The sequence below is a fragment of the Homo sapiens genome, chromosome 12 (genome assembly GCF_000001405.40).
Source record: "Homo sapiens chromosome 12, GRCh38.p14 Primary Assembly".
In the NCBI taxonomy this organism is placed as follows: Eukaryota; Metazoa; Chordata; class Mammalia; order Primates; family Hominidae; genus Homo; species Homo sapiens.
The window spans coordinates 24,946,999-24,969,745 of record NC_000012.12 but is presented as its reverse complement, the minus strand read 5'-3'; the positions used below and the strand labels follow the sequence as shown (position 1 = coordinate 24,969,745).

At 43.1% G+C, this 22,747-nt stretch overlaps 1 protein-coding gene, 1 long non-coding RNA gene and 1 pseudogene across 16 annotated transcripts in view, besides 5 other annotated features; 2 read left to right on the top strand and 1 right to left on the bottom strand.

The window, feature by feature from the left end:
• On the top strand, positions 2,242 to 2,619 carry BRI3P2 (brain protein I3 pseudogene 2; annotated as a pseudogene).
• BCAT1-DT (BCAT1 divergent transcript) lies at positions 5,612 to 20,583 on the bottom strand. 3 transcript variants are annotated; one of them, NR_199053.1, is made up of 5 exons: positions 20,416 to 20,583; positions 12,506 to 12,619; positions 11,472 to 11,812; positions 9,574 to 9,692; positions 5,612 to 6,230 (listed from the first exon to the last, which is right to left on the bottom strand). It is a non-coding gene; the product is annotated as a BCAT1 divergent transcript (long non-coding RNA). The 3 variants fall into 3 exon arrangements; NR_199054.1 differs by lacking the exons at positions 11,472 to 11,812; positions 12,506 to 12,619; NR_199055.1 differs by lacking the exons at positions 11,472 to 11,812; positions 12,506 to 12,619; positions 20,416 to 20,583 and adding an exon at positions 14,089 to 14,183.
• Positions 14,052 to 14,291: an enhancer, noted in NCBI's record as "active region_6110". NCBI's record gives its function as "activates an Ori minimal core promoter by ATAC-STARR-seq in GM12878 lymphoblastoid cells {active_cell/tissue: GM12878}" and the evidence as "EXISTENCE:reporter gene assay evidence [ECO:0000049][PMID:35858748]".
• Positions 17,392 to 17,461: an enhancer, noted in NCBI's record as "active region_6109". NCBI's record gives its function as "activates an Ori minimal core promoter by ATAC-STARR-seq in GM12878 lymphoblastoid cells {active_cell/tissue: GM12878}" and the evidence as "EXISTENCE:reporter gene assay evidence [ECO:0000049][PMID:35858748]".
• Positions 17,842 to 17,911: an enhancer, noted in NCBI's record as "active region_6108". NCBI's record gives its function as "activates an Ori minimal core promoter by ATAC-STARR-seq in GM12878 lymphoblastoid cells {active_cell/tissue: GM12878}" and the evidence as "EXISTENCE:reporter gene assay evidence [ECO:0000049][PMID:35858748]".
• Positions 20,192 to 20,281: an enhancer, noted in NCBI's record as "active region_6107". NCBI's record gives its function as "activates an Ori minimal core promoter by ATAC-STARR-seq in GM12878 lymphoblastoid cells {active_cell/tissue: GM12878}" and the evidence as "EXISTENCE:reporter gene assay evidence [ECO:0000049][PMID:35858748]".
• Positions 20,402 to 20,751: an enhancer, noted in NCBI's record as "active region_6106". NCBI's record gives its function as "activates an Ori minimal core promoter by ATAC-STARR-seq in GM12878 lymphoblastoid cells {active_cell/tissue: GM12878}" and the evidence as "EXISTENCE:reporter gene assay evidence [ECO:0000049][PMID:35858748]".
• The window catches only part of BCAT1 (branched chain amino acid transaminase 1), a 139,317-nt gene continuing 136,975 nt past the window's right edge, over positions 20,406 to 22,747 (top strand). For 11 of the 13 annotated variants that reach the window (NR_182106.1, XR_007063110.1, XR_007063108.1 and 8 more), the window contains exon 1: positions 20,645 to 20,819. Coding sequence is in view for 7 of the 13 variants with exons in the window: in NM_001178092.2 (NP_001171563.1) it covers positions 20,814 to 20,819 (6 nt within the window). In the remaining 6 variants the exon portion in view is untranslated. Of the gene's footprint in view, positions 20,495 to 20,612; positions 20,820 to 22,747 lie in introns of those variants that run through there. The other 2 variants (NM_001413101.1, NM_001413107.1) reach the window with 2 other exon arrangements.

Below are 22,747 nucleotides of genomic sequence, written 5' to 3'. Positions count from 1 at the left end.
CCAGTCTTGGCTTCATAATCAAGAGAGCACCTCATATATTCATGTGTTCTTAGAAAATAGTGGTGTGAGCCATGTCTTTTTCTACAGCATGTTCAAGGAAGTTGTGTGTAATGCACTACCAGACTGGTCATCAGGCACCCGCTATGTATACGAGAACCTGAGGCTCTCTGGGTTCTGAACACAACTGATAATTAATTCCTCACTGTTGGCAGCAATAATTAAGAGTCTGGTTTTATTGCCTGTCCCCTTGGTGATCTCTCTTAGGATGATGAGGAACTATTTTCCATTGGGTGAAATATGACAAACAGAAAATATGGTTTGTTAGTCTTTTTTGTTTCTGTTTGTCTATTGTGAATGCAAGCCAATTAAAACAATATTTAATGCTCACTGAAAAGGAGAACAACTCTTTGAGATCTGGCCAGAGTGTTATTGTGTTACCAAGCTGACTTTTGACCTGTGGATGAGATTATAGAACTGAACTGCGTGCCCTCTGATGTCCATGTGTCTGCAATTGAAACAGCCTTTACCTCTTTTGGATGGAAGATGAAATATTAGTAAATTAGGGTATAAAGTATTAATAAATTAGATTATGATTTTTTAATAAAGAGCTCTGATTTTATTGGTTTATGGGGAATACTAAATGTTTATATAAATTTAATATTCCTAGAAGTCCTTGAAAATAAAGAAATGAAACTTGTAATACACTACTCAGGAAGTGCCAAGAAAAAAAAAAAAACAAAGTATTCTCATAGAAGGTTTTGCTCAGGAGCATTTTGATATAGGAAGCTGAGTTCAAAGATCACCAGAATCCTTAGACAAATTAGTTTGATAATGTTTTAAAAAACAGCATTGTCTTTCCTCAATTTTATCAGTATGGAGTATAATACAAACATATAATTTTTAAAAATAAGATTGAGTTTGTTTTCTAATGAAGAGACTAGTTAATCTGAGCTTCCTAAACTTATACTATTTATAGATCAGATAACATTATACCCCACATAATGTTTAAGAATACTGAAAAGATAAAATAATACAATCAATGACACTGAATTATAATTTCTTTATTTTTTTGAGGCAGGTCTCACTCTGTCACCCAAGATGGAGTGCACTGGTGCACTCTCAGTTCACTGCAGCCTCAACCTCCTTAGGCTGAGGTGATCCTCCCACCTCAGCCTCCCGAGTAGTTGGGACCACAGGCACGTGCCACCATGCCCAGCTAATTTTTGTATTTTTAGTAGAGATAAGGTTTTGCTATGTTTCTCAGGCTGGTCTTGAACTCCTGAACTCAAGTGATCCACCCCCCTCAGCCTCCTAAAGTGCTGGGATTACAGGTGTGAGCCACTGCGCCTGGCTGAATTATAATTCTGATACATGTTTTTATATCAGCATTAATTATATTTTGTAATGTGTTAGATTAAGCATAATACCTAAAATCTTTAGTTAAATTAAGTCTTTGGACTATAGTAAATTGAATTAATTAATAGATAATCTTTGGATGGCTGGGTAATTTTGAAGTAAGATAAAATACTGAAGCATAAATCACCAAATATAATTTTGGGAGCTAATATATACTTTTGCTCTTTATTTTTATGAAATAGCATGGCTAGTACTTTGCATTATGTAATTGTGCATGAGCTCAATGTTACCACTTTAAAAGGCTTAAAAAGCACATATCTGATGGTGGGGAGCAGTGGTCATATTAGGCGCACTTACCAGCTTTGCTCTTGTGCCAAAATGCTTATTTGTGACAAATAGTTCTAAATTACTTGCCACCCCAACCCTGCCCTCACACCTAGTACTTTCTGTAAAAAAGATGGAGTAACAGGACCAGATTAACTCTCTTGCCTTAAATAACTAAAACAGCAAAAAATATGTATTTGAAACAATGGTTTTCAGACATTGAATAACAGAACAGAGCAGTAATCCCTGAGAGCAGGAAAACAAATGAAGTGAGCCTAATGATTGACCCAGCTTCCTGCCTAGAGTTTCCAGACTACAGCATAGAGAATATACTTGGGTTGTCAATGAGTTGAGGAGACATTGTCGGGAGTATGGGGAGGCCAATGCAGCCAGGGTTTGCAGAACACAGTGCTGAAGAGGAGTAGGGGAAGGAGAACTCTGCGGATCTGCAGTGAATGGATCCCTCCATCCCTTATGCAGGTACTGGTCAGCACACATCTGTGAGGAAGCTCCTCAAGATTAGGGTCCCCACTGGGGCCGACTGAGCTGAGTGGGTCTGCCATGGACCACAAACCTCTGCTGCAGAAGCGGCCTCTGGCCTACAACCTGGAGTCCGTCCAGGTCAACTATGCATGCTGCCTGCACAGCTATGGCGCCAACCCTGCCAGCCCCCGCCAAGGCCCTACCCCTACCTCGTCACAGGGGTACCCACCCGCCACCCCAGGGTCTACAACATCCACAGCCAGACCACCACCTGGTACCCTGCCAACTCCATCATGGTCATGGGAAGCTGTCCCGTCTGCAGGGTCGGGGGTGCTGGAGGACTGCTTCAGCTCCCTGGGCATTTTCTTGGTCATCATCCTGTTCCCCTTTGGGTTCATCTGCCGTTTTGCCTTGAGGAAGCGAAGATGCCCCAACTGCGGAGAGACCTTCGCTTAAAGAGGACACCACACCCGGCTTTCCTACACCCAGTTCTCTTTTTCTAATGTAAATTTCGTGTATAGTAGTTTTATATAATTAAGCTTCAGAACTGTTTTTTTTTGTTGTTGATGTTGTTGTTTGAGTCAGAGTTTCATTCTTGTCATCCAGGCTGGAGTGCAATGGCATGATCTTGGCTCACCGCAACCTCTACCTCCCAAGTTCAAGCGATTCTCCTGCCTCAGCCTCCAGAGTAGCTGGGACTACAGGCACCAACCACCACGCCCGGCTAATTTTTGTATTTTTAGTAAAGACTGGGTTTCACCATGCTGGACAGACTGGTCTTGAACTCCCGAGCTCAGGTGATCTGTCCGCCTTGCCCTCCAAAAGTGCTGGGATTACAGGCATGAGCCACCACGCCCAGCCTCAGGACTTTTCTGTAAAGTGAGATGGGATAGATGTGGTACCTGCAAGCCGCGGTTTCCTGGAGCATGGAGAGGCAGCTCTGCTGCTTCCTCCCAAGGTTAATGACAACTCAATAAAGCACTGCTTGGCCAGGCACAGTGGCTCACGCCTGTAATCCTAGCACTTTAGGAGGCTGAAGTCGGCGGATCATAAGGTCAGGAGCTCGAGACCAGCCTGGACAATATAGTGAAACTCCGTCTCTACTAAAAATACAAAATTTAGTTGCACGTGGTGGTGGGCACCTGTGGTCCCAGCTACTCAGGAGGCTGAGGCAGGAGAATCACTTGAACCCGGGAGATGGAGGTTGCAGTGAGCTGAGATCACGCCACTGCACTCCAGCCTGGGTGATAGAGCGAGACTCTGTCTCAAAAAACAAACAAACAAAAAAACACAGAGCCTAGAATAGTGGACATTCTCACCAATCAGAGTGGGAAAACTTTGTAATACATGGAATATTGGGTATGGAACTCAGAAGAGTATTTCCTCAGAAGTGGGACAAAATCACTCTTGACTAAAGACTGCTCTGGTCACATCTAACAAAGTTTAAAAGTAGGGAAAGATAGGCTGGGCCTGGTGACTCACACACCTGCAATCCCAGCACTTTGGGAGGCGGAGGTGGGCAGATCATTTGAGGTCAGAAGTTGGAGACCAGCTTGGCCAACATGGCAAAACCCCCGTCTCTACTAAAAATACAAAAATTAGCCAGGCATGGTGGTGCATGCCTGTAATACCAGCTACTTAGGTGGCTGAGGCACGACAATTGCTTGAACCTGGGAGGCGGAGGTTGCAGTGATCTGAAACTGCACCATTGCACTGCAACCCGGGTGACAGAGCAAGACTGTCTCAAAAAAAAAAAAAAAAGAAAGAAAGGAAAGATAAAACTGGTTCCAACTGACAGTTGTGTCCCAGGACAAGGCACAAGAATATCAAAATGAAAGCAATACAAGAATACCTATTACTCAACAAGACAAAATTCACAATGTCTGGCATCCAACAAATATCATGTGACATGGAAATAAGCAAGAAAATATGACCCAAAATGGGGAGAATTATCAATAACTGAAAGGGATCCAGAAATGAGATTGAGAATAGAATTCATAAGCAAGTATACTAAAAGTTACAATGAATATTTATATTGCATTATAAATTATGTTTTATATGTTCACAAAGATAGAGGAAACATAAGTATGTTAATATAAAGAAGATATTTAAATGACTCTTTCATCCCTGCAAGGTCTGAGAAAAAAATAAGACTCAAGTGAAACTATAAAAAATAAAAAAGATAATATTTGAGATAAAATAGAGACTACGTTAACAGTGGATTAGATGCTACAAAAGAAAAAAGGTTAGTAAACTTAAAGAAAGAAATATAAACTATTGAAAATGAGACAAGGAAAAAAGTAATGGAAAATAAATACAGTATTAGCTATGGGACAACTTCAAGAGGCCTAATATATATAAAATTATAGTCTCTAAATTATTCAAGAGAGAAGGGCATTCAGCCTCAGAAAGCTGATTGAAAGAAAAACTAAAAAGCAAAATAAAGACAAAAATTAAGAAAAAATAAAAATATGCTATGTGTGGTGGCTCACACCTGTAATCCCAGCACTTTGGGAGGGCAAGGCAGGAGGATTGTTTGAGCCCAAGAGTTCAAGACCATCTTGGGCCACAGAGTGAGGCCCCAACTCTGCAAAAAATGAAAACTATTAGCCAGGTGTGGTGGCATGAACCTGTAGTCCTAGCTATTTGGGAGGCTTAGGCAGAAGGATTGCTTAAGGCCAGGAGTTCAAGGCTACAGGGAGCTATGATTGTACCACTGCACAAGCCTGGGAAACAGGGAAAGACCTGCTTGACTCTATTTATAAAAAGAAAGAAAGAAAGAGAAATAAATAAAAAAGAGAAGAAACTGAAAAAATGTGAAAAAATAATTGCTAAAAACTCCAAATTTGACAAAAACTGTAAACTCATAGATTGAAGGAGCTCAACAAACCCCAAGTGAAAGAAACATGAAGAAAACTATGCCAAGGCACCTCATAATAAAAATTGATTAAAATTAGTGGCAAAGAGAAAATGTTAAAAATGCAGGAGAAAAAAGGCATATTACATACAGAGGGACAAACATAAGAATTACAGAAGATTCTCAGTGTAAACAATGCAAGCCAGCAGATAGTAGAACAATGTCTCTAAAATATTAAAAGAAAAACAGTGCAGGCCCAGTAGCTCATGCCTATAGCACTTTGGGAGGCTGATGCAGGAAGATGGCTTGAGACCGGGAGTTCAAGACCAGCCTGGGCAACTTAGCAAGACCCCTGTCTCTACAAACACTTTAAAAAAAAAAAACATTTAACTGGGCATGGTAGCATTTGTCTTGAAATCTATTTTATCTGATGTAAGTATAGCTATTCCTACTCATTTTTGGTTTCCACTTGCAGGGAATATATTTTTCCATCCCTTTATTTTTAGTCTATACATATATTTATAGGTGAAATGTGTTTCTTGTAGGCAAAAGATCATTGGGTCTTGTTTTTAAATCCATTCAGCCATGGTATGTCTTTTGATTGGAGAGTTTATTTCATTTACATTCAATGCTATTTTTGATAAGTAAGGACTTATGCCTGCCATTTTGTTATTTGTTTTCTGGTTGTTTTGTGGTCTTCCTTTTAGTGAATGCGATTTTCTCTGGTGGTATCTTTTAATTTCTTCCTTTTTAGTTTTTGTGTATTGTCAACTCAAAGTGTCTGAGACAGGCCTTAATCAATTTAGAAAGTTTATTTTGCCAAGGTTAAAGATGTACCCTCAGGAGGCTGTGTCCTGGCAACATGTGCTCAAGGTGGTCAGGGTACAGCTCACTTTTACACATTTTAGGGAGATATGAGACATCAATCAATATGTGTAAGATGTGCATTGATTTGGTCCAGAAAGGCAGGACAACTCAAAACAGGGCGGGATTGGGGGGGCGGGGAGGGGACAGTTCCAGGTAGATAAGGTGTGGTTCCAGGTAGATAAGAGACAAAAAGTTACATTCTTCTGACTCTTCAATCAGCCTTTCACTGAATCCACAATTTACATGTTGGGGAACATAGAGGAATAGTCACTTATGCCTTAGTCTGGCTCAATGAATCTGCATTTGTCTCAGTTGAGCAGAGAGATGACTTTCTGTCTGGCACCTGTGAAGATAAGGTATCAATTTACATCACAAGGGTGAAATTCAACAGAATTGTTTTAGGGTAAAGATTTTGAGGCCCAGAAGGATTTCTTTATGAGCGAATTGTGATGGACGTATATAGCTTTTAAAACATCTTTGTAGTTATATTACTTAGGAATAGAATGAGAGGCAGGTTTGCCTGATGTAGTTCCCAGCTTGACTTTTCCCTTTAGCTTAGTGATTTTGGGGTCCCAAGATTTATTTGCCTTTCACAGTGTCTGTTATATTGTCTTTGATTTGACATTACCATGAGGCTTGCAAATAGTACTTACAACCCATTATCTTAAACTGATGACAACTTAATACTGATTGCATAAACAAACAAGCAAAGAGAAAGCAAATAAAAGCTCTACACTTTAACTTCATTCCTCCACTTTTTAACTTTTTGTTGTTTCTGTTTATGTATTATTTTACTGTCCATGTCTTGAAAAGTTGTAGTTATTTTTTTGATTGGCTCATCTTTTAGTCTTTCTACTCAAGATATGAGTATTTTATACAGCACAATTACAGTTTTATAATATTCTGTTTCTCTGTGTACTTACTATTACCAGTGAGTTTTGTGCCTTCAGATGATTTCTTATTGCTCATTAACATCCTCTTCTTTCAAACTGAAGAACTCCCTTTAATATTTCTTATAGGATAGGTCTACTGTTGATGAAATTCCTCAGCTTTTCTTTGTCTAGGGAAGTCTTTATTTCTCCTTCATGTGTGTAGTATTTTTTGATGAATTCTGCTATTAAGAGACTGTAATTCATTCTTCAGTATATCAATTGCATTTTTCAGCTCCAGAATTTCTGCTTGATTCTTAACTATTTCAATCTCTTTGTTAAATTTATCAGATAGTATTCTGAATTCCTTCTCTGTGCTATCTTGAATTTTGTTGAGTTTCCTCAAAGCAGCGATTTTGAATTCTTTGTCTGAAAGGTCACATATCTCTGTGTCTCCAGAGATATGTGCCTTATTTAATTCATTTGGTGGATTCATGTTTTCCTGGATGGTCTTGATGCTTGTGGAGCTTATTGATGTGTGGGCATTCATGAAATTAGGTATTTATTTTATTTATTGTAGTTGTTGCAGTCTGGGCGTGTTTGTACCTGCCCTTCTTGGGAAAGCTTTCCAGGTATTCAAAGAGAGTTAGGTGTTGGGATCTAAGTTTTTGTTTACTGCAGACTTATCTGCATTAGGGGGCATCCCAAGCCCAATAACACTATGGCTCTTGCAGACTCAAGAGGTACTGCCTTGGTGGTTTTGCATAAGATCTGCAAGAATTCTCTGGATTACCAGAAGGAGCCCTTGTTCTTTTCCCTTACTTTCTTTGAAACAAATGGAGTCTCTCTCTCTGTGCTGAGCCGCCTGGAGCTGGGGGAGAGGTGACATAAGCACCCCTGTGGCCACCACCACTGGGACTGTGCTGGGTCAGACCTGAAGCCAGCACAGCACTGGGTCTTACTCAAGTCCCACTGTAACCACTGCCTGGTGACAGCCTATGTTTGTTCAAGACCCCAGGGTTCTACAATCAAGAGGTGGTGAAGCCAGCTGGGCTTGTGTCCTGTGTTATCTTGAATTTTGTTCAAGAGTGACTAGCTCTCCAGATTCCAGGCATGACTAGAGATGCCCTCTGGGAGCCAGGTCCTAGAGTTGGAAACCTTAGGAATTTACCTGGTGATCTATTCTACTGTGGCTGAACTGACACCCAAACTGCAAGGCAAAGACCTTCTCACTCTTTTCTCCCCTTTCTACAAGCAGAGGAGTCTCTCCCCATGACCACCACCACCCCAGGCCTATGGCAAATACTGTCTGGCTACCATCGATGTTCACTCAAGGCCCAAGGGTTCTTCTGTCAGCTTTTGGTGATGTTGGCAGTTCTGAGTCTGTTCCTTCAGGGAAGCGGGCTCCCCTCTGGCCCAGGGCAGGTCCAGAAATACTGTCTAAAAGCCAAAACCTGGAATCAGAGACCCCAAGAGTCTAGTTGGTACTCTACCCCACTGTGGCCAAGCTGGTACCTAAGCTATAAGACAAAGTCTCCTTTACTCTTCCCTCTCCTTTTCTCAAACAGAAGGAGTCTCTCCCTGTAGCCACCACAGATGGGAATGTGCTGGGTCATATCTGAAGCCATCACATCTCTGAGTCTCACTCAAAGCCTATGGCAAGTATTGCCTGGGTACCACTGCTGATTATTTAGGGCCCAAGACTTCTTTTTTTTTTTTTTTCCCCAAGACAGAGTCTTGCTCTGTCACCCAGGCTGGAGTGCAATGGCGTGATCTTGGCTCACTGCAACCTCCACCTCCTGGGTTCAAGCAATTCTCCTGCCTCAGCCTCCCGAGGAGCTGGGATTACAGGCGTCCGCCACCATGCCCAGCTAATTTTTTGTATTTTCGGTAGAGACAGGGTTTTACCATGTTGGCCAGGCTGGTCTTGAACTCCTGACCTCGTGATCCACCCGCCTCAGCCTCCCAAAGTGCTGGGATTACAGGCGTGAGCCACTGCACCTGGCCTGGCCCAAGGAGGGTTCTTTAGTCAGCAGGTGTTGAATTCTTCTAGGACTGGGCCCTTCCCTTTGAGGTTGTGAGTTCCTTTCTGGCCCAGAGTGTGCTTAAAATGTCTTCTGGGAGCTAGGGCCTGGAATGGGGCCATCAAGACTCTGCCTATCCTATTGTAGTGCCCAATCCTATGGTAGCTGAGCTGGTATCCACGTTGCAAGACAAAGCCCTCTTTACTCTTCCCTCTCCTCTCCTCAAGCCTGAAGGAAGGGGTCTCTCCCAGAGCTGCAAGCTGTGCTGCCTAGGGTTAGGGGAGTGGTGGCACAAGCACTTGCTTGGCTGCCCTGGCTGGTTTCTCACTAGGTCACATGCTCCTTAAGTCCACTAGCTCTGAGCCCAGCACAGCACCAGGACTTGCCCAGGAATTACAGTCCTTGTGGCCTAGACCACCTTTCACATTTATTTAGGACCCCAGAACACTTTAACCTATTGTGGTGAGGCTTGCTAGAACTCAGGTTCCAACCACTGGGGTGGGTGATTCATCTTTGGCTAAGGCTGATCTAAATGCTCCCTCTGCTGGTGCTGGCTGAGTTTTGCCCAGTGTTGCTTTCTGCTGACAGGGCAGCACTGAGTTCCAACGCAAAGTCCCACAGTCACTGTGCTCTTCCTCCCCTAAGCATATAGAATCTCTCTCCATGCCATATGGCCTCTGACAAGGGATGAGGAAAGGGTGGTATTGGCAATTCAAGACCATCTTTCTTTCTTACCCTCTTCAGTGCCTCTTTCAGTGATGTGAAATTAAAACCAAGTACTGTGATTACTCACCTGATTTTTGGTTCTTACGAAGGTGCTTCTTTGTGTGGATAGTTGTTCAATTTGGTGTTCCAGTGGGGAGGACAATTAGTGGAGGCTTCTATTGAGCCGTCTTGCTCTGCCTCTTCCTCCTGAAGGATAATGTTTTAATGAAAAATTTAGAGATACAGTAATTCTGGGAGATGAAAAGATCTAGTTCGGTTGTGTTAAACTTTGGTATGCACAATAATATATCAGTATCTCAGGTGGTTACTAAAATGCAGATGTTTGTGTTTTACTCCTATACCTTACTCCCCAGTAATTATGAATCAGTAGATCTTGGGTGGGACCTGGGGGAGAGCATCTTTAGCAGAAGTCAAGGGTATAACTATGGAAACGAATGGTTTATGTAGAGTAGAAATAAAGATCATCCAGATTCTAGGTGTTGGTCCTCACTTGAAGACCTAAGATAATGGCAAGGTTCTGGATAGAGAGGAAACTTGTGAACCAAATAAGGAAACCTTCATCTTTTTAAAAGAGAGAGCCTAAGTAGGTAATAAATAATAGTGTGGAGAGGACATAAAAGAGAGTGACTTGAACCTAATTCAGTATGCTCTAAGCATTATCTTTAGAACCATCAGTACATTTGATTTGGGTAAAGGGAAGAGTATTTGGGCAATGGTGATTGAGTGAAAAGTGTTTTATTTTGTAGAAAAAAAATCTCATAGAATAATTTTAAAAAGCATTATGATCGAAGATGATAATAAGAGCTTATATTTATTGAACATTTACTATGTGCGAGGCACTATTTTGATTACTTCATGCATATTAAGTCTTAATACTCATGAAAACCATGGGCTTTATTTTCCCCATTTTACAGATAAGGAAAATAAGGCTAAGATAGGTTAATATGTCAAAATGTCGTGAGGATACCAGTTAGGTAGCTAATGTCTGGGCCGGGCGCAGTGGCTCACCCCTGTAATCCCAGCACTTTGGGAGGTCGAAGCGGGTGGATTGCCTGAGGTCAGGAGTTCAAGATCAGCCTCGCCAACATGGTGAAACCCTGTCTCTGCTAAAAATACAAAAATTAGCCAGGCATGGTAGCGGGCACCTATATTCCCAGCTACTCGGGAGGCTGAGGCAGGAGAATTGCTTGAACCCAGGAGGTGGAAGTTGCAGTGAGCTGAGATTGCGCCACTGCACTCCAGCCTTGGCAACAGAGCAAGACTTCGTCTTTAAAAAAAAAAAAAAAAAGAAGCTAATGGCTGAAGGAGAGATGACAGAAGTTTGAAATAAGATATTCTAATGAGTGTGAAGAGCGAAAGACAAATTTAAGAAATTATAAAGGGGAATCTTTGTAATAATAAAGGGACATTATAAATGATCAGATTTGAAGAGAGTTCAGGAAAGGTAGGATCTAATGTTGACTGACTGTTGTTTGGGATACTGGTTTAATAGTGTTGTTATTAAGAAAGCTAGAAGGCCGGGCCTGGTGGCTCATGCCTATAATCCCAGCACTTTGGAAGGCTGAGGCCAGCAGATCACCTTAGGTCAGGAGTTTGAGACCAGCCTGGTGAAACCTCATCTCTACAAAAAAATACAAAAATCAGCCGGGCATGGTGGCGTGCACCTGTAATCCTAGCTATTAGGGAGGCTGAGGCAGGAGAATTGCTTGAACCCAGGAGGCGGACATTGCAGTGAGCTGAGATTGCGCCACTGCACTCCAGCTTGGGCAACAGAGCAAGGCTCTATCTCAAAAAAAAAAAAAACAACAAAACAAAGAAAATTCAAAAAGAGTCTACCAAGCATGCAACACATAGTAGCAAGACACACACACACATACAAACACACATGCACACACACAGAGAAGGATTTAAGAGTAAATATAAGTTAATTATATATACGATAAAAGTCTACTGAGTTATACATGCCTTTGGGTCAGACATGTGGAAATGTACATTAGTCAGAATTATGAGTAGAGTGCTCTTGAAGCAGGTGACACTGGAGTATGTGTGTTATTGAAGCCAAGAAATGCTTCTGGTGATAGTAATAAAATATTCCACCAGAAGTGGCAAAGCAGTAAAGATTAATTATGTCATATAACAAAACTTTTGAAGGTAGGCAACTCCAGGTTTGGCAAAGTGGCTCAGTGATGTCCCCAACAGTCCAGTCTCTTTCTTTTTTCTTTGCCATCCTCAATATTTGGTTTTTGGTCTTGGGCTTGCCACTCATGGTTGCAGGATGGTTGGTGGCAGCATTCTGAAACATTTATCTGTATACAACATTTAAAACAAGAAGAGAATGGGGTGAGAAACAAAGAATAGAATTGTGATTGCCAGGGCTGGGGGAAGGGGAAAATGTTGCTAATCAATGGCAACAGATATAAAATTTCTATTATGCAAGATGAGTAAGTTCTAGAGATCTGCTGTATAACATTGTACGTATAAATAACAGTACTGAATTGTGCACTTAAAAATCTGTTAAGAGGGGCCAGGCACGGTGGTTCACACCTATAATCCCAGCATTTAGCGAGCCTGAGGTGGGAGGGTCACTTTAGCCCAGGAGTTCAAGACAAGCCTGGGCAACAAAGTAAGACCCTGTCTCCACAAAAAATACAAAAGTTAGCTGAGTGTGGGGGTGCACGCCTTTAGTCCTAGCTACTTGGGAAGCTGGGGCTGAAGGATCACTTGATCCCAGGAGTTCAAGGCTGCAGTGAGCCATGCCACGACACTGCACTCCACCCTGGGTGACAGAGCAAGACCTTGTCTAAAGAAAAAACAAAACAAAACAAAACAAAAACCTCGGGCGCGGTGGCTCACGCCTGTAATCCCAGTAATCCCAGCACTTTGGGAAGCTGAGGCTGGTGGATCACCTGAGGTTGGGAGTTCAAGACCAGCCTGGCCAACATGGAGAAACCCTGTCTCTACTAAAAAATACAAAATTAGCTGGGGATGGTGGCGCATGCCTGTAATTCCAGCTACTTGGGAGGCTGAGGCAGGAGAATCGCTTGAATCCGGGAGGCGGAGGTTGCGGTGAGCCAAGATCACGCCATTGCAGCCTGGGCAAAAAGAGCAAAACTCTGTCTCAAAAGAAAAAAAAACATCTGTTAAGAGGATAGAGCTGTTAAGCATACTTACTAAAATAAAATTAAGAAGAAGGCAGAAAGCAGAAAAAGAGAGGGAGGAGGAAGTGGAGGTGGAGAAGAGGGAGTAGGGGGAGGAAAGGAAGAAGGAAAAGAAGGAGGCACCAGTAAGCTCTCCTTGCCTGATTTATGTTTTCCTAATCAAAAGGGAAATCCTTAAAAGCTCCTCGGGTGACTTTCTCTTAAGTCTCATTGATCCGAACTTGATTATTTGATCTTCTCTAGCTCAAGAGAGTATGGGAAAGTAAATATATTGCAAAGTACAATGAGATTGTCATCACTGCCTTAGATTAACTATTAATCCCCCAGGACTAGGCATATTCTGTATCCTCACCATAGAAAAAAGAACCAGGGCTCTATTAGAAGAAAAAAGAAGAACAATGGATTTTTGTTATTTTCATTTTTATTGTTTGAGACAGGGTCTCTCTGTGTCTCCTGGGCTGGAGTGCAGTGGTACAATCACGTCTCACTCAACCTCCCAGGCTCAAGTGCTTCTCACACTTCAGTCCCCCGAATAGCTAGGACTACAGGCATGCATCACCACGCCTGGCTAATTTTTGTATTTTTTGTAGAGATGGGGTTTCGCCATGTTGGCCAGGCTGGTCTCAAACTCCTGGGCTCAAGCCATCCACCTGCTTTGGCCCCACAAAGTGCTGGGATTATAGGTGTGAGCCACCACGCCTGGGTAAAAAATGGCCCGTTGCTAGATAAGTAAGAGTATTAGCCAAGGAGTAGATGGATTTCCTTATGGAGAGGATTTAAAATGAATTAGAAAAAAAAAATAGCCGGGCGCGGTGGCTCATGCCTGTAATCCCAGCACTTTGGGAGGCTGACGTGGGTGGATCACCTGAGGTCAGGAAGTCGAGACTAGTCTGGCCAACATGGTGAAACCCCATCTCTACTAAAAATACAAAATTAGCTGGGCGTGGTGGCAGGCGCCTGTAATCCCAGCTCCCCGGGGCGGGGGCGGAGGGGGCGGGGCGTGGCGAGGCAGGAGAATGGCTTGAAACTGGGAGGCGGAGTTTGCAGTGAGCGGAGATCGCGCCGTCGCACTCCAGCCTGGGGGACAAGAGCGAGACTACGCCTCAAAAAAAAAAAGAAAAAAAATTAAGGACATGGGATGAAACCCTAAGGGAGAACACTATTTGAAGAGATGTTAAGAGGTAAAAGAGATTGTGAAGGATTGAGAAGGCAGACTCTTGAGAGGTAGTTAGTAGGCTAACACCATGGTCATTACAAAGAAAATGGTTCTGTGTTTTCACAGAATTTATCCAAGAGAAGAGTAGCTAAGACTTATACACCAGTAATTATAGAAACAGTATTGTATTAGTCTGTTCTCATGCTGCTAAGAAAGACATGCCCAAGACTGGGTAATTTTATAAAAGAATGAGATTTAATGGACTCACAGTTTCACATGGCTGGGGAGGCCTCACAATAATGGCGGAAGACGAGGAGCAAGTCATATCTTAACATGGATGGCAGCAGGCAAAGAGAGAGTGAGAACCAAGCGAAGGGGATTTTTCCTTATAAAACCATCAGATCTCATGAGACTTACTCACTGCCACAAGAACAGTATGGGGGAAACCACCCCCATGATTCAATTATCTCCCACTGGGTTTCTCCCACAACATGTGGCAATTATGGGAGCTACAACTCAAGATGAGATTTGGGTAGGGATGCAGCCAAACCATATCAAGTACAAAAGTTGGTGTGGGTCTGTAAGCAGGGTTTCTCAACTTTGGCACTATTGACATTTAGGACCAGATAACTTTTTTTTTTTTTTCGACACAGAGTCTCATTCTGTCACCCAGGCTGGAGTGCAAGGGCATGATCTTGGCTCACTGCAACCTCCACCTCCTGGGTTCAAGCAATTCTTCTGCCTCAGCCTCCCAAGTAGGTGGGATTACAGATGCCTGCCACCACGCCCAGCTAATTTTTGTATTTTTAGTAGGGACGGGGTTTCACCATGTTGGTCAGGCTCGTCTCGAACTCCTGACCTCAGGTGATCCTCCCGCCTCGGCCTCCCAAAATGTTGGAATTACAGGTGTGAGCCACCACGCCTGGCTCAGATAACTCTTTATTGTGGGAGCTCGTCCTGTGCATTGTAGGATGCCTGGCAGCATCCCTGGCCTCTACCCATTAGGCGCCAGTAGCAAATCTCCCCCACTTCCCTAGGTATTATAATAAAAATGTCTTCAGACATTGCCAAATCTCCCCAGGGGGACAAAATCACTCCTAATTGGGAATCACTGGTTTATAACAAGGAGTGCTTCAGGAAAGGCTGCAAATGGGGCAATAGTAATTAAAACGGATCTCCAAGACTGGATATCATTTAGCCAAGCAAAGTCGGAGGAAAAGAAATTCCAAGGAGCATTTGTGCAGAAACAATGATGGAAGATTTCAGGTGTGCTTAGGCACACAACATGTACTCATGTCAGGCTCTCACCAGAGCATCTGAGTGCAAGTTGCATGATTTTGAACAGGAGAAAAAAATCTAATCAGAACGGAGGACTAGGGAGATTACTAGCCATCTGTGTGTTGGGTGGATTGGGGCAGGGAGAGATTAAAGGCAGGGATAACAGTAATCCAGAGGGAAAGTACAATGAATGACCAAACTAGGGCAGTGAGAGTGGGAACTGAGGGGGATGACTAAGAGATTTTGTGGAGATACAATTGGGACGGCTTAGTGATTACGGGATGGGGGAGGCTCATATCTTTCTCTCTTGCTTTAAGTACTATCTATAAAGATAGGAGCTATATGAAAGTTTGGAGGCTGGATAATTGGAAGCACATTAATGACATCAGCAGAGAGAGGGAAGCAGGTTAAAAAGGGAAGATTATGTGCTTGGATTTGGATTAATTGGGCTTGTTAGAATAGAGATGAACCAGAGATCTAGTATAGTTTTAAAAGTTATCAGACTACAGGTCATAGTAGAGACACTAGAGGACAGAGTATAAAGAGGAGATTCAAGATCAGATACAGGTGGGATGAACACCTTGCCTATATTTAGAGGGCATGAGGTGATCATAAATAAGGTGTAAGGACCTGCCAGAGAGGCTGGAGGAGATTCAGAATCCTATCGTGGAAGGGAGGAGTTTCAAGGAGAAGGAGGATAGCTTTGTGCGTCAGGGTGGAAAGTACCCTGAGAGGTTCTAGAGAACTAGCAGAAAGAAGACTTTACAATATCCTTTCAAAATAGATAGGAATTAATTTATTTTTATTTTTATTTTTTTGAGATGGAGTCTTGCTCTGTCGCCCAGGCTGGAGTGCAGTGGTGCGATCTCGGCTCACTGCAAGCTCCACCTCCCGGGTTCAAGCCATTCTCCTGCCTCAGCCTCCCGGTAGCTGGGACTACAGGTGCCTGCCACCAAGCCTGGCTAATTTTTTGTATTTTTAGTACAGACTGGGTTTCACCGTGTTAGCCAGGATGGTCTCGATCTCCTGACCTCGTGATCCGCCCACCTCGGCCTCCCAAAGTGCTGGGATTACAGGCATAAGCCACCGCGCCCAACCCAGTAAATCTAATTTTACATGGGGATTAGGTACTAGAGTGTGTACAACAAGGATAAAAATAAATCCAGTGAGTCAAAATTGTCATGGGAAATTTCCCAAAAAGTACAGTATAAATGATTTTCGAGTATTGAACTTGGTGTGTGTCTGTGTGTGTATGCATGTGTGTGTGCACATGTATGTAATGGGCAATGAATGCAAGTATTATAGGAAATATAAAAACAGTACAATTTTGAAGTATTTTTTACTATGAGAAATAGAGAAAGAGAATGACATTGTTTTCTGAGTGTGTAGAGTAGAATTTTAGAGTAGATTTTCCTCTTTTAAGACAGAGTATCATTGCCTTATGTAAACTCTCCTATTCAAATTCCAGGAACTGTTAATAACTCAAGGCAGAGAATATTTGTGAGTTTCTGCTTTCCTAGAGAAAATTTAGTAAGATACAGGGAAGACATTCTGCAGGTAGTTGGCACATATTTTTCATAATGATGGCAATAAAAGCCTTTGTTAATAACAGTGAGGACAAAATGAAGCTGGACTGTCTGGCGCTCTGGAGTCAACCTCAAAATTAGTGTCTATTAGAAATCTTAGAAATGCTGTCTCTTCTTCAGTAAAAGACACTGCCCATAGATGGGTATATGGTATATATCCAGTTTGGATCCAGTTTTCCTTAAATATCTTTTACTGTGACTTGTTTGAAGTACAGTGCCACTGTCAGAGTAACAACCTTCGTTGATCATGAGCCTCATCATTTGGGAAAAGCATGTGTGTTGTCTGGGAGAGAAGCTTTGGGAGTTTACAGTTGACAATGAGGGAGAACTGTGGGGCCCTTCTATCAACACTAAAGGGAAATGGGAGGAGAGACATAGCTAGATTGTTCTTATATTCTTTTTTTTTCTTTTTTTTTTTTTTTTTTTGGAGATGATGTCTCACTCTGTCACCCAGGCTGGAGTGCAGTGAAGTATGAAGTGATCACAGCTCACTGCAGCCTGGATCTCCTGGGCTCCAGTGATCCTTCCACCTCAGCCTTGGGAGTAGCTTAGACTGCAGGCACATACCACCACAAACAGCTAATTTTTGCATTTTTTGTAAAGACTGGCTTTTGCTATGTTGCCCAGGCTGGTCTTGAACTCCTGCTTTGACGTCCCAAAGTGCTGGGATTATAGGCGTGAACGCCCGGCCCTCATATTCTTCTGTGGATGTTAATTCCCTAACTTTCTCACTTCCCTTCAAGCTCTTTTTTTTTTTTTTTTTTTAAATATATACTACCTTCTCTCTTCCTTTGTTGCTAACATCAAAAGAATCCTTAAGTAGGGGTAACAGCAACAGGGTTGGAGGTGAAACTGTACCTTCAAGCCAAAAACAGCCTGAAGGCTGAAAGACCAGACTGCTGGTCCTGGATGAAATCCATGACGCAGAGTGAGAATTTCTGTTCCTGTTTGCCTGCCCCTCCCCTATTCTGAGCCGATAAAAAGCCCCAGGACTCAGCCTCATGGAGGAGACTTTCCTGCCTTCGGGTAGGGGGACCACCCCCGCTTCCCTCTCTGCTGAAAGCTGTTTCATCCCTCAGTAAAACTCCCCGCCTTGCTCACTCTTCAATTGTCAGCACATCTTCATTTTTCTTGGGCATGGGGCAAGAACTCAGGAACCAATGTGCAAGGCAAACTTGTCTCAGGCGGGCAAATTGCGTGGGGTGCCTCCTGCAGCAGGTAGTATGCCCCGAGCTAGGCCTCCGGCATTGCCGGCTAGAGGTCCTTGACTGGCAAAGGGACTGAGAAAAATCCTGCATTGAGGGAGAGGGGGGCGAGGGGCGGTCGTTGGATCTAGGAGTAATTGCCAGGCTTGCTCTAGAACTTATTAATGCATTTATATCTATGACCCCATCACTCTCTATCCCCTTATTACTCTTTCTCATAAAATTTACCACATGGTACCTGTTTTTTTTTTTTTTTTTTTTTTTTTGAGACTGAGTCTTGCTCTATTGCCCAGGCTGGAATGCAGTGGCATGATCTTGGCTCACAGCAACCTCTCTGCCTCCCAGGTTCAAGCGATTCTTGTGACTCAGCCTTGTGAGTAGCTGGGATTACAGGCACCCCGCAACCACGCCCGGCTAATTTTTAGTAGAGACGGGGTTTCACCATGTTGGCCAGGCTGGTCTCGAACTCCCGACCTCAAGTGATCTGTCTGCCTCAGCCTCCCAAAGTGCTGAGATTACAGGTGTGAGCCACCATGCCGGGCCATAGAGTAACATCTTTATTGAGATATAATTCACATAACATACAATTCACCTATTTAAAGGGTATAATTCAGTGGTTTTTAGTGTGTTCACAGGGTTGTGTAACCATTACCACAATCTAATTTGAGAACATTTTAATCAATTCAAAAAGAAATCCAACGCCCATGAACATTCACTCTGCATTCCACCCTGTCCCCAGATTGAAAACAACTATGTGTTTTCTGTCTCTATGGATTTTCCTGTTCTGCACATTTCAGATAAGTGGAATCATATAATATGTAGTCATTTGTGAGACGCTTCTTTCACTTTGCATAGTTTTCAAGGTTCATCCATGTGACTGCATGTAATCAGTACTTCATTTCTTTTTATTGCAGAATATAATAATATTCCATTGTATGGATGATACCATGTTTTATTTAGCCATTCCTCAGTTGATAAACATTTTGCTACCTGATTTAAAGCTTACTTTCTGTTTCTCACACTAGTATATGAGCTTAATGAGGGTAAGAACATTTTTGTTGTTTCCCACTCAGTCCCTAGCATTTTGCACATTGCCTGTCTCATGTCAGTGTCAGGTTCAAATCTATCTAGCTGTGCTTTCACTGACGGGGGCCAGGAGGTTTCACAAGGACTCAATGGCTGATTAAATGCTTACAGATACAGATTTCTCAGGGCAGAACTTCTGCAAGCATTTTGGCTGTGGTCAGTTACTTTCAGGTTTTCATTACTTTTTGGTTTTCACAGCATCCGCAAGTGCCCATAGCCATTATCTCAGCTGCCTCTCTCTTTACTCTCTTGCCAATGGTGCCAGGCCACAGCAGGTGTTATCTTATCACCTCAGTCCACCATACATATGCTTATCAATTTGAGGGGTCAGCAATTTCACTGGAGGCTGAAACCCTTGTCATAAATGGCTCCATTTTGAGACATTTCAGATTACAAACCACTGTTATATACCAGCCTAGCATGTAGAAATCACTCAGTACATTTATTGAACACATAATTTAACCATTCATTCACCTGACCAACAGTCATTAAGCACTGACACATTTGTTTTCAACACTCCCTCTCTTCCACGGCAGGCCACTTGGTATGGGAGATAAATATGACAAAGGATCTGCCCTTACGAATCTCATAATCCACTGAAGTGACAACTGTGCAAACAAATAATTAAAGTAAAATTAAGAAGCTGGGCACAGTCTCACATCTGTAATCCCAGCAATTTGGGAGGCGGAGGCGAGGGGATTGCTGAGGCCAGGAGTTCAAGACCAGCTTGGCCAATTTAGTGAGACCCCATCTCCATTAAAAAATGATAAAATAAAATAATTGATTTTGAGAAAGGATGTGGACAAAGTGCAGCACATAGACCAAGGGCCCAGTTCTGTTTGAGGGCATTGGAAGCAACTTCCACAGCAAAGACTTGGGTTGAAATTTACAAAAATAGGAGTTTGCCAGCTTGACAGAGAGGCAGCGGAGGTCAACCAGCAGCACACTTAAGCAGTCATGGAGGCTGACCTAGGCGCTGGACATGGAAAAGTAGCAATCCTGGAGCTTTGTATAGATGTGGGGAGGGAACTTACAGGGGACCAACTAGGCTACTGGGCAATTTCACATTATAAAGAATTTTATATGCTCAAATTAAAGGATTAAAAATTTTCCCCCATGTACATAATAAATTGGCAAAAATGGTTATATTTGAGGGTGACTAAGGAACTCTGGGAAAGAGATCGGCAAACCAGGCACATGTTCTTGACTACTGCAAAAGTACATTTAAAGTAGCCGCGGGGGATACATGTATACTTTTGGGCAGGATTGTGCCGTGGTCCTCTCAGCATGCAGCAAAGTTACTTTGGGGACAGTAGGGAGGTGGGCAGGAGCCAGTGATGACGGAATGGCAATCACATTTGACCTCTGATCTGTTTATTTCCTCCTCCTTGACGTCTCCATATAAATGTTACACGGGCATCCCCACACTCGGATACGCACCCACAGTGGCTGATTCGGGGGTAACCGTGTCATTTGCTTGCAACACTGGCACCTCTGCCCTGCACCCCGGGAGTGAGCAGTGAGTGAGGCTCGGGTCTGGGCGCTGGCTCCGAATCTTCGGGCTGGGAGAGACTCCACCATCTGGGGGCGGCCTGGGGGAGCAGCCTTAGTGTCTTCCTGCTGATGCAATCCGCTAGGTCGCGAGTCTCCGCCGCGAGAGGGCCGGTCTGCAATCCAGCCCGCCACGTGTACTCGCCGCCGCCTCGGGCACTGCCCCAGGTCTTGCTGCAGCCGGGACCGCGCTCTGCAGCCGCAGACCCGGTCCACACGGCCAGGGGCTACGACCCTTGGGATCTGCCCTCCGCTCAGCTCGAGCTTCCCTCGTGGCCGACGGAACAATGAAGGTAACTACTTATGGTTTTGTCCGTGTTTTACAAAAATGTGTGCGTGAATCGAACCGGCGATTTCTCCAAGAAACATAGTTGGCAGGGAGGGGAGGAAGGCGAGACAACCATGGCTTATATCCCCCGCAAACGTCTCAGTATCTTCTTTATCAATCGTAGTTTGCGGGGACCGTGCATTCTGTTCAGATTTCGGTTTAACCTCCACTCGCAGGACGTGCCTTCTCGGACTTTTTCACATTCGCTTTTGGGAACGGAGGTGAAAGTCTGCTACAGCTCCCTCCCCTGCTTGTGAAGTTTGGAAAGGAAGTGAGGGCTTCTCTCAGTTTCTCCTATGCACAGGAGGTGGGGAATTTTGGAGAGGAGGTCTGGGGATGTCCCGGGCTGTAAATGCGCTTTCCTGCAGCGTGTGTTCGTGATGCAGGAGGGAGCGGCTGGAAGAGTTGACCCGGGTGGAGAGGGGAGGGAGAACGATCTTTTCACTGTTAAAAGCAGAAGGCCCCTCTTATTTTGTTTCTTGTGGAAATTAAAGCTTCTAGGAGTTACAAATGATAGACGCCTAAGGGCATTCATTTGTTAAACCAGTGAGCACCCTAATGGCTCTGATCTTGCTAATCAAGGATAATTAGCCTAGCTGCCTATTATTTCTGACTATTTAGGTGTAGGGATGTACACCGTTGAGTGTTTTGTTTTCCTAGTTTCACACACTGGAAAACTGCAATCGCATATAAAACCCGAAGAGCAACTTTTTCCAAGGAAAGTGAAGGATGGGCAGATATTCTTGCCATCTAACATTTTGGAATTGAGATGACCATAATGCAATCTGAACTTCTGGTAGGAATAAAGCCTCGTTTCAGAGTTTCTAAGGAGGGAGATGAAGCGTGGTTCTCAACTGCTCTTATCTACAACCCATCCCAGACCATAGTTTCACTTAGAAGAAATAATATGTAAATAGCGCCTTTGTTGCCAAACAAAAACTTTCACTACAATTAAACAGTAACCGAGTGGAAACTATGCGTTTTTGTATTCAACAGAGATCACACAACTTTTCTTCTATAGTTAGAGGTTCTATTTCTGGCTTCCTCATGCTTGTTTCATTTCAGATGAAAAACACACTTTAGTTGATTATAGCTTTAGTAAGTAAAAGGAGAAAACTAAGAATGAACAGTCTTGCTTTTCCAGCTTTTTCCTGTCCATGTGCAGTTGTGGTTAATTACGCGTTTTTGTAGGTCCAAAAACCCCTGTCCCTTCCACAAGATACTTTTATAACATGGGGAACTAGGTAAGATATCTACAAGTAGTCTCTTTTCTGTTTCCTGATATTTCCTAAGATTAAGAAAGAAATGATTGTATTCTAGGTATGATCGAAGAAGTATGGAAGGTTCCATTAAGTTAGTTTTATCACAATATTTCAAACATCTTTCCACTTATCTCTTAAATATGTATTGCTATCACAAGCTTGATTTTTTAAAAAAATGTTATTTGCACATGGCATCTTGATTGCCTTTGTCCTCAGCAAATTCTCCGGGCTTAAGTCATGCATGAGCTTGTATTTTAAGACAGACACATGCAGAATGGGCAACTTGGATAAGAAACATAGGATATACACTGAGTAGCATGTGTACAAAAATGGTAAGTGAGTATTATGACTTAATAAATTTAGATGGGGATTTAAAAATGATACACATGTAAATGGGATTGGAGGCAAGGGAAGTCCGTGTGTGTGTGTGTGTGTGTGTGTGTGTGTGTGTGTGTGTGTGTGGAGGGAAGACGGGAGGCCTAGTGGGGAGAGAGGTTTTACATTCCAGACACAGGATGTGGCCCCTCAGGCTAGGCTCAGAGATGTAAAGCTAGTTAAGCTGGCCTAACAAAAGGGTGGTGGTTAGAAAAAGGAAAAAAAGAGGTGGGGGTTGGGGAGGAAAAGAATTTAA